We start from the raw sequence: 11,956 nt of genomic DNA, 5'->3' as shown, positions 1-11,956 counted from the left end.
TATGTGGTCAGGTCTGTAGTAACCTAAAAGCATTATAATGTTCTGTTAGGAGGCACTTACCTTTCGTCTTCTAGCCAACTTTCTTGCTAGTGAAGAGTCATCTCTCCTAATGGTAGTCACTGGTGGAAGATTGGAAGATTAGATGGCTGGAAGTGAGAAAAACTCCCATCTTTTTGGTCTGGTGACCTCTGTCTGGTCAGGAGAGCTATGTCCAGAATCCAGCAGCAGACATGTGTCACTGCTTCTGGGATATAAATAACAGCCCAGAAATATGCACTTAGAAGTCAGGAGTTTCAGAAGCACAAAGCTGTGTCCACTTCTCTTCTGCCCTTTGAGCACATTCAAACTGTAGCTCCTCATCAAAGTTCTAAGTAGCTGCTGCAGGATGTTCCCTCTTCTAGGTTCAGATAATACCATCTCTTCCCTTTGGATTTCCCACTCAAAGTGTGGTGAGTGATTATACAGCTATGAATCCTAGTTCCCGCAGTGTCTGTTTTATTCTCTTTCAGACTTCACTTGTTTGTGGTTTCCATTTTAAGATAAAGAATATATATATATATTTTTAAAAAAAACACAGCCTTGAAATAGCAGACCATATTAACTCAATATTACAGACACTTCCAAACTAGTTTGTATATATTTATAAAAAACTGCTACAATGCACAGCCTTGCAGATGAACTTCCACTCGCATAGCTTCCAACACCAGTAATCTTTGTCTGCTGTTATTTGCTTTTTTGTAATAGTTTACCCTGGAATATGCACTGGACTTATTGATTCATTTCCAGTGAATAAAATATGGCAGACATAAAGAAATGTCACCTCTGACATTAGGTCATAAAAAGATTGTAGCTTTGTCTTTGGCACTCTTTCTTGCTCTGTCTTGGATTACCCAGTCTGAGGGAGATGAGCTGGCATGTCATGAAGTAGCTGGCATGTTATGAGGCAATTCACATAGCTGTCCTAGAAGCAGACCTTCTGAGGGGTGCCAGGGCCATGAGAATAAGCTTGGGAGTAGACCCTACCCTAGTTAAAATTGAGATGATTGCCATTTCAGCTGACACCTTGATTCCAGACACATGACAAAACATTAGGCAGAAATACCCAGCACAGCTGCTTCTGACTTGCCGACCCACAGAAACTGTGACATAATAAATGTTTGTATTTTTTATCACTAAGATGTGGGGTAATTTATCAAGCAGAAATAGATTATTAATACAGATTTTGGTGCCTAAATGTGAGCATTGCCATTATACAAACCTAAAATGTGAGAGTGGCTTTGAAATTGAGCAGTATGGACTTTGAGAAGAGTGTTAATGAAAATTTAAAGTGCCTTGAACATTCTGTTTGTGGAATTTTGGACTTTGAATGTACTGTGGGTGACAGCCTACAGGAAGATGAAGAAAATCTCTTTGAAAACTAGAACAAGGAGGATCTTTGCTATTTAGTGATAGAAAGATCAGTGATACTAAACTGGGTTGTGTAGAAAATGAAACATGTGCCCAATGGACTGAGTAATCTCCCTAAGGAGATGTCTGAGAAAAGTTTTGAAGATGCTGCCTAGGTTCTTCATGCTGCTAATAGTGAAATGCATGAGAAAACAAATAAATCCAAATAAAGCTTCTTTTAAAGAACCAGAAAATGATGGTTTTAAAATCCTCAGCTTCAGCCAGGAGGAGTAGCTCATGCCTGTAATCCCAGTACTTTAGGAGGCCAAATCAGGAGGATCACTTGAGCCCCTGAGTTCAAACCTGCAGTAAACTATGATTGTGCCACTGCACTCCAGCTTGGGCAACAGAGTGAGACCCTGTCTCTATGGGGGGTAAAAAAAATACCTCAGCCTCTCTAGACTGCAAATGATGCTAAAATTAAGAATGCATTAGCCGAAGAGAGGCCTTTGGACCTCCAAAATTCTATTTGCCAAATCAGGTTAATAACATCTTCTTACCTCCAAAAAGAGTGCTACCTTTCATGAAAAAGGAAAAAGATTCATAGGGTGGCACCAAAAGGGTAGAATTATTGTTGGTCCTTGAGACTCAAGCAGCTTCCAACCTTTAGCTAGATTTTAGAATTATTATGGATAAGTGACTACTTTCTGCCTATCATGTCCCCCTTTTAAAATGGAAATGCCTATAGCAGTTATCCTATGCCTGTCTCACCATTGCATGCTGTGTACATTGAAAGAAGACAACCTGAATTTTGAGTTTTCTTGTTCTACAGATTGAGAGCAACTATACTTGAGGCGCTGTACTCAGGAAACTACCTGCAAAGCTTCATTCATGTATGGGCTTGATTGAGATGATAATACTTGCTGATGCAGTTATGGAATAAAACTTTTTGGGGCCTTGTGTATTTTGCATCTGAGTGAGACATAAATTGTCAGGAACCAGACTGAGTACTGTTGTGATAGGTATCTGTATGCTGGCCCCTAATATTCTTTGCCTCTTGGTATTCACACCTTTGTGTAATACCCTCACTTTGTGTGAAGACTGAAAATACTGACTTACTTCTAATGAATAGAATAAGACAGAGGTGATGGAATGTCATTCTGAGATTAAGTTATGAGAAAGTTTCTGCTGTGGTCACTCATCTTCTATATCTCGAGGCAGCCCTATGAAGAGAGGTCCTTGTGATTGAGTCTACAAGTTAATCTTCTGAGGCTTTCCAACAACCAGCAAGTGAATTTGGAAGCTAATCCATTCCAATTTGAGCTGTAGCATGACTGCAACACTGGTCTGTGCTTTTATTCAGTCTTATGAGAGACTCAAGTAGAAAAATCTACCTAACTGCTCCCAGATTCTTGACTTACAGGCACTATAGATTATAAGTGTTTCTTGTTCAGCAGCTAAGTCTTGGGGTGATTTATTGAACAGCAGTATATAAGTTAGGCAATTATGTTGGATTATTTATTCCAAGTTATTAATTTAGCATATGGAATTTGCAGATACATGTAGGATGGCGAGAGTAAGTGGTCAATGTAACAATAAAATATTAATATTTTTGAAAGTTATTTTAAAAGTAATTAGATGTATGTATGTATGCATAGTGCCTTGGATATGCAGCTATTACATTTGTTTTTATTTTATAGACACATTTTTCTTCTCCTTCTTTTTGGGATAGAGTCTTGCTTTGTCACGTAGGCTGGAGAGCAGTGGCATGAACACGGCTCACTGCACAGCCTCAATCTTCTGGGCTCAAGCAAACCTCCCACCTTAGCCTCCCATGTATGGAGCTGAGACCACAGGCATATGCCACCACGCCTGGCAAATTTTTTGATTTTTTTTCTGTTTTTTTGTAGAGACAGGGTCTCACATTTTGCCCAGGCTGATCTCTAACTCCTGGACTGAAACCATCCTCCCAACTTGGACCCCCAAAGTGCTGGGATTACAGGTGTGAGCCACCACACCTGGCCTATTTTACTTTTTGCTAGTGAGTTCTAATTTTAATCCTTCTGGTCATAGAATACAGTCTGTTTGATTTTAATTTTTTGTGTGTGTGCATTGAGGCTTCTTTAGTGGAATAAATGATTGAATGAATTTTGGGAATCTCTTATTATGCCTCAGAATGTATGTATTCCACTTGTGAGGTATAAATTATAAGTTTAAACTTTATGCTTTTGTTACTAAAATTGATAAGAAAAATAGTAGACAAAGACCATGGAAATTGGGGCTATCCTCAGGATTTAAATCACAGCTCTAACACTCAAGAGCTGATATTTGGGCATATTATATAAAATTATGTTATCTCTGCATTACATATTTCTTATCTTTAAAACAGAAGTAATAATATTACCTGCTGATATGGGTTTGGCTCTGTGTCCCCACCCACAACTCATCTTGAATTGTAATCCCTATAATCCCCATGTGTGGAGGGAGGGATCTGATTGGAGGTGATTGGATCAAGGGGGCAGTTTCCTCCATGCTATTCTCGTGATAATGAATGGGTTCTCCTGAGATCTGATGGTTTTAAAAGGGGCTCTTTCCCCTTTACTCATTTGCTGTCTGTCACCTGCTGCCACGTAAGACCTGCCTTTGCTTCTCTCTCACCTTCTGCCTTGATCGTAAGTTTCCTGAGGCCTCCCCAGCCATGCAGAACTGTGATTCAATTAAGCCTCTTTCCTTTATAAATTACTCAGTTTCGGGTATGTCTTTATAGCCATGTAAGAACAGACTAATAAACCTACCTCATATGTTTCCTATGCAATTTAAATAAATTAATATAATCAAATTGCTTAGAACAGTATCTGGTATAAATGCTACATAATAAATGTTGTTATTATTATTTTTCCTATAACTATCTTTGTCTGCTTGGTTTAACAGTTTCTGAGAGTAGCATGTTAAAATATCCAACTATTTATGTTGACTTATACATTTCTCCATGTAATTCCAAAGTTATCACTTTGTATATTTGGGGGTATGTTTTCAGATAAATATATAATATACAATAATCCTAACTGTACGACACTAAAATAAATCAATAGCACATTAGAACAAGTAAGAAGGTTCAGCAAAGTTCTTAAATCTGTGAAAAATGAATAGTATTACTCTACATGGGTAATTTACTAAAAAGTATTAGTAATGGCATTATGCTATACCAGTAACAGCAAATATAATGGAAAATACAATACCATGCACAATAACAACAGTATCTAATAATCAACCTAACAAAGAAAGCAGGAATCTTTTACAGAGAAAACAATTAAGCTATATTAAATTGTACAAAAGGAGATTTTTAAAATGAAACTATATACATCTTTGCAAGTAGGGTAAATCCTTCAGTTTTACTCTTGTTTTTTGAAATTATTTTGCCTTTTCTAGGTCTTTCACATTTCTTTATTAATTTTTGAATCAGCTTGTCAACTTCTGAGGAAAGCTCCCACTGAGATTTTGATTGGAATCTGGTATTTGTAAGGTTTGCAAACAGTTTGCAAAATATTAATAGTGTACATACAAAAATATCTTAGCTTTCAAAGATGTTTAAACTAGGAAAATGTAAATTATTCCTTACACAATAATATGTAGAAACATTTGGCCAATTGTTTTTAATCAATATTTTTCTTCATTAAAATATATAAATCCAGCAGTAATTATTCCTAAATATAAGAAATACAATATTCTCTCATTCCTTTTTGGTATCAACCTAAATTTACATTAAAATATATTTCTCACTAGATTACAGGTGAAAATTAAAATGTTGGTCCAAATTAACAGGACTTGCTATAATAAGCATAGCATACACCCTTATTAATGTTCTTAATTTTCATTAACATGATAGCATATTTTATTGACATATTATTATTTTCTTGTAAACATAATTAGCACTCATTCTTCTCAGCTGTATAATTTAATGAGTTTGATCACACAATTATCAAGAAAGAACAATATATAATTCTGCATGATTAAAAGAAAAATGTTCTTTAACAGTTTATCTCTGTAAAAAACTAAAAAATGCATTTAATTCTTATAACATGTTTAAATTTTGCTTAAATTAGAAAATGCCAGTTTAAAAAAGATACAACAAAAAATTTCATATAACTTTTTTTAGGTTTAAGTAAACAGGGACAAATATTAAAAGTCACGATTCACCTGTCATCTCTTTTGGTCCACATTTATCACTACCTAACCTTAATATGTGTCTTAGTCTATTTTGCATTAGTATGAAGGAACACCTGAGGCTAGGTAATTTATAAAGAAAATAAGTTTATTTGACTTATAGTTCTGCAGGCTGTACAAGAAGCATAGTTCCAGAATCTGCTTCTGGTGGATCTCAGGAAGTTTTCAATCATAGTGGGAAAGAAAGGGAGTAGGCATTAGAGGGTAAGAGGAAAGAATCAAGAGAGAGTAGGGGTGCCAGGCTCTGTGAAACAACCAGCTCTCATATGAATTATTACAGTAAAATCTCACTCATTACCATGGGAAAATGTCAAACCATTCATACTTGTTCAAGGTAAATAGTTAGTAGGTAACAGAGAGGGAAAATTTTGTTTCCTAACTCTATGTTATTATTACATGCCACATTATAATGCTTAGACAGGAATTAACCACAAACCATGTATTTTTGGCATACATTTCAGTAATAGGAAAAATACATAGTTACAGATGATGAATATAAAACAAAAAATAGAAAAATGATTTGTGATCAACCTCAGTATTGCTCCTAGGGACCAATTTAAGTATTTACAAAGCCAAATGCTAGAAAGAAAAAGTAAGAAGTTCAATTTCTTGGGCCAAGATATTTTGATAGTAAACTATCTTTAGTTTTTGTGATGTTACTTATTAAACTTTACCCATTAAAAACAAATTTACCAGTATTTATTGTAAAGATATTTCTTATCTAGAAATTCAGAACTCTAATTTATAAATTGTTATGCAAGTACAAATGAAGATTAAAAAAGATATTTACCTTGAATTTTTGCATTTGGTTAGGTACTAGAGATATAGTTTCTAAAGTATCTTCTTAATATTCTAATTAGTTATGAGAGTGAAACACAATTTTTATGAACTTCAAACAGTTCACTTTCTACTAATGTTAAAAGGAGACTTAATGGGGTCCATATTAACAAAGGATAATAATCTCCTACAAACCCAAAGAATATGGAGAAATATAATGCGTCTTGGAAAATTACAGAATTAAATTATCAAAATTATCAAAAATGGCATTCACTCTTTCTAGTCAATAATTGACATTGTGATTCATTTTCTTTCTAATTCAATCAATTCCGAAGTATTTTCTCCAATATAATTACTCATTAGGACATCTAAAATAGTCTAGGTAATGGTAGAGAAGATTAGTTTTATGCATTATGAAAGTTTTTGCCAAGAAAAATAAAAAGGTTTCTACTGGAGAGTTAAAAAGCTTGTCTTTCACCTTATTCCCATTCACCTCATTCTTACTTCATATACCTGTCTACTAGTTCTGTAATATTCAGTAGATATCTGTGTAACTCTTAACCTCTGGTTGTTATTTTGAATAAGGATCTCAATAATGATGAAAATCAATGAAGGCAATTTTCACCAAGTGAAATTTTCTTTACTTTGAAGAAATGGGCAGTAATTATTTTGGCCCACCTCTCAAATCTCAAAACGTATACTTACCTTAAATGTTTAAAATGGTTGTAAATTTTCTCTATTGGTGGAGGAGATATAAAGGTACTGGTGTTTTACTTTATAAATGTTTTAGCACAATCAACTTCTTTTAAAAACATGCAGTTTCAGTCAGGAAAATAAAAATGACATTAAGTTCAAAAAGAAGGATTCAATAAAGGTTTGAAGAGCTGAAATAGCAAATAGAGGTTTCTGAAGTATCTCACCTATTAAAAACCAGAGAAAGCAGTAACATCCCTATGGTCAGTTTGTATGACAATAGGTGAGTAACCAATACTCTGTGTGCATGTATATGTGCACATTTGTATAAGCATCTGAATTGTCAAGCTGATCATTAAGAAAAATTGATAATTCAAAAAGTGAATTTTAAGAAAACAATTCTAGAAATGTATGGATTATAATATAGTATAAATCCCACAAATGCTTTAAAATAGATGAAGAAATTAAGTACATTAGTAGTAAAGCAACAAAAGAAGGACACACTCTCAGTCACAAACATTAGAAAATAAGTACGATGGAGATTTCCATGACTGACTGGCTAGCTACAGTTCACCATTGCACATCCCGCGCCCATTGAAGCATATGTAAAAGATTTATAATCCTTTGAGTATATACCCAGTAACGGGATGGCTGGGTCAAATGGTATTTCTAGTTCTAGATCCTTGAGGAATCGCCACACTGTCTTCCACAATGGTTGAACTAGTTTACAGTCCCACCAACAGTGTAAAAGTGTTCCTATTTCTCCACATCCTCTCCAGCACCTGTTGTTTCCTGACTTTTTAATGATTGCCATTCTAACTGGTGTGAGATGGTATCTCACTGTGGTTTTGATTTGCATTTCTCTGATGGCCAGTGATGATGAGCGTTTTTTCATGTGTCTGTTGGCTGCATAAATGTCTTCTTTTGAGAAGTGTCTGTTCATGTCCTTCGCCCACTTTTTGATGGAGTTGTTTGATTTTTTTCTTGTAAATTTGTTTAAGTTCTTTTGTAGATTCTGGATATTAGCCCTTTGTCAGATGGGTAGATTGTAAAAATTTTCTCCCATTCTGTAGGTTGCCTCTTCACTCTGATGGTAGTTTCTCTGCTGTGCAGAAGCTCTTTAGTTTAGTTAGATCCCATTTGTCAATTTTGGCTTCTGTTGCCATTGCTTTTGGTGTTTTAGACATGAAGTCCTTGCCCATGCCTATGGCCTGAATGGTATTGCCTAGGTTTTCTTCTAGGGTTTTTATGGTTTTAGGTCTAACATTTAAGTCTTTAATCCATGTTGAATTAATTTTTGTGTAAGGTGTAAGGAAGGGATCCAGTTTCAGCTTTCTACTTATGGCTAGCCAGTTTTCCCAGCACCATTTATTAAATAGGGAATCCTTTCCCCATTTCTTGTTTTTCTCAGGTTTGTCAAAGATCAGATGGTTATAGATGTGTGGTATTATTTCTGAGGGCTCTGTTCTGTTCCATTGGTCTATATCTCTGTTTTGGTACCAGTACCATGCTGTTTTGGTTACTGTAGCCTTGTAGTATAGTTAGAAGTCAGGTAGCGTGATGCCTCCAGCTTTGTTCTTTTGGCTTAGGATTGTCTTGGCAATGCAGGCTCTTTTTTCGTTCCGTATGAACTTCAAAGTAGTTTTTTCCAATTCTGTGAAGAAAGTCATTGGTAGCTTGATGGGGATGGCATTGAATCTATAAATTAAGTTGGGCAGTATGGCCATTTTCACAATATTGATTCTTCCTACCCATGAGCATGGAATGTTCTTCCATTTGTTTGTGTCCTCTTTTATTTCATTGAGCAGTGGTTGGTAGTTCTCCTTGAAGAGGTCCTTCACTTCCCTTGTAAGTTGGATTCCTAGGTGTTTTAGTCTCTTTGAAGCAATTGTGAATAGGAGTTCACTCATGATTTGGCTCTCTGTTTGTCTGTTATTGGTGTATAGGAATGCTTGTGATTTTTGCGCATTGATTTTGTATCCTGAGACTTTGCTGAAGTTGCTTATCAGCTTAAGGAGATTTTGGGCTGAGACAATGGGGTTTTCTAAATATACAATCATGTCATCTGCAAACAGGGACAATTTGACTTCCTCTTTTCCTAATTGAATACCCTTTATTTCTTTCTCCTGCCTGATTGCCCTGGCCAGAACTTCCAATACTATGTTGAATAGGAGTGGTGAGAGAGGGCATCCCTGTCTTATGCCAGTTTTCAAAGGGAATACTTCCATTTCTTGCCCATTCAGTATATTGGCTGTGGGTTTGTCATAAATAGCTCTTATTTTTACATACGTTCCCTCAATACTCTCATTATTGAGAGTTTTTAGCATGAAGGGCTGTTGAATTTTGTCAAAGGCCTTTTCTGCATCTATTGAGATAATCATGTGGTTTTTGTCTTTGGTTCTGTTTATATGATGGATTACGTTTATTGATTTGCATATATTGAACCGGCCTTGCATCCCAGGGATGAAGTCAACTGAATCATGGTGGATAAGCTTTTTGATGTGCTGCTGGATTTGGTTTGCCAGCTTTTTACTGAGGATTTTTGCATCAATGTTCATCAGGGATATTGGTCTAAAATTTTCTTTTTTTGTTGTGTCTCTGCCAGGCTTTGGTATCAGGATGTTGCTGGCCTCACAAAATGAGTTGGGGAGTATTCCCTCTTTTTCTATTGATTAGAATAGTTTCAGAAGGAATGATACCAGCTCCTTTTTGTACTGCAGCACTACTCACAATAGCAAAGACTTGGAACCAACCCAAATGTCCATCAATGATAGACTGGATTAAGAAAATGTGGCACATATACACCATGGAATACTATGCAGCCATAAAAAAGGATGAGTTCATGTCCTTTGTAGGGACATGGATGAAGCTGGAAACCATCATTCTGAGCAAACTATCACAAGGACAGAACACCAAACCTCACATGTTCTCACTCACAGGTGGGAATTGAACAAAGAGAACATTTGGACACAGGGTGGGGACCATCACACACTGGGGCCTGTCGTGGGGTGGGAGGAGGGGGAGGGATAGCATTAGGAAATATACCTAATGTAAATGATGAGTTAATGGGTGCAGCACACCAACATGGCACATGTATACATATGTAACCTGCATGTTGTGCATATGTACCCTAGAACTTAATGTATAATAAAAATAAATAAATAAATAAAAATGCCAAAAAAAAGAAACATATGTAAAAGAAATGAATGAAACATATTCTGCAAAAAATTTCACTATTATCCCCCAACTGGAAGAAAAATGAATCAAGATGGTGTAATCAATTTTGGGAAAGAATGTGGAGATATTTATGAGAGTGAAATCTCATGTCTTGCATCTCCCTTTCCAACCAAAACCAGGCAATATTTTTTTTTCAAAAAATTCCACTGGAATAAATAAAGAGCCCACAGCAGGTAAATTCACTTTTCTACAGATTTTCATGTGACCATCACGAGTAATCAAATAGCACTCCTAGAATGCTGTGTTTCTTCCTTTTTCCCTCGAACATTTGACCTACTGGGCTGCGTTGGGTTTATGAATACTAATTTTGTCAGATTCCATGCCATTCATGTCAGCCTCCACAAGAAGCCCATGACTTCTAGGCAAATCTTTCCTCCTAAAATTCTAATCCTCATACAGCTCTATACAATACTTTCCCACCCCCACCTCCCAGTCCTACTTACCTCCTGAAATTCTTCACTCTGTTTTTTAAAATCTAAATTTTTTGAGTTTTGTTTGTTTTCTTACTCTGAAATGTAGCCATTCCCTAAGAAATGTTTTCATTCAGTCCTGTCAAGCGGTAGAGTTTTAAAAAATATATGCCTTCTATTTTATATATGGTTTAAGATGTGAAAGTGAAAAGTAGGCCTTATAGAAGTAGGTACTTTTTTTTCTTTATTGTTGCTTCCAGAATAGTTTTACTTTTTCTCTGTTCTCTATAAACATCCAGATTTAAATCTCATGTAATCTCAACATATCCCTCACTACCCTTCTTGTAATTATCTTCTATTCCTCAGTTTATTTCTCAATATTTCATAAATATTTTAGTCCCTGAATTATTGTAACTCACTGTAATATAGCTTCTATTGTAATTATTGGTGATTTCAATATCCAACTACATGATAACTTCAATACACTTGTCCTTTTTTACTTCTTTCTCTCTCTCTCTTTTTTTTTTTTTTGTCAGAAAAGGTCTCACTCTGTCATCCAGGCTGGAGTGCAGTGGCGCAAGCATAGCTCACTGCAGCCTCGACCTCCTGGGTTCCAGCAGTCCTTCCACTTCAGCTTCCCAAATATCTGGGACCACAGGTGCCTGCCACTAGAGCTAGTTTATTTTCAAAAATACATATTTTTTTCGTACAGATAGAACCTCCCTATGTTGCCCAGGCTGGTCTCAAACTCCTGGGCCCAAGCAACCTCTCACCTCTGCCTTCCAAAGTACCGGGACCACAGGCATGAGTCACCACGCTTGTCTCTCTGTTTCTTGACTCTTTCTTCCACAATGATCTTGATCACCAATTATCTACTTAAATGTTTATTCATTTAAGTATGTCATCTACTAGAAACTAGACAAAGCAGTAACATCCCTATGGCCAGTTTGTACAACAATAGGTGAGTAACCAATATTCTATGTGTGAATGTATGTGTCCCTATATTACCATCTTAATTTCAGACTTCTAAGTCTGTTACCAAGCCACTACTTTCCCACTTTATTCCCTTGGTACACTGTCTCCAGACATCTTTTAATTTTTTGTACTATCCTATTTTTCCCTGCCACAGCCTTCTTACCTATGTCTCACTCCTTTCCTTGAACAGTTTAAATTATTGGTCAAAAGTTGTAATCATGCCCTATAAAAATGCCCTCTTTTTTCTTTCTTAT

This window comes from Homo sapiens, chromosome 2, assembly GCF_000001405.40.
Source record: "Homo sapiens chromosome 2, GRCh38.p14 Primary Assembly".
Classification (NCBI taxonomy): domain Eukaryota; kingdom Metazoa; phylum Chordata; class Mammalia; order Primates; family Hominidae; genus Homo; species Homo sapiens.
The sequence above is the reverse complement of the archived record's forward strand: the minus strand, read 5'-3'. Positions refer to the sequence as shown.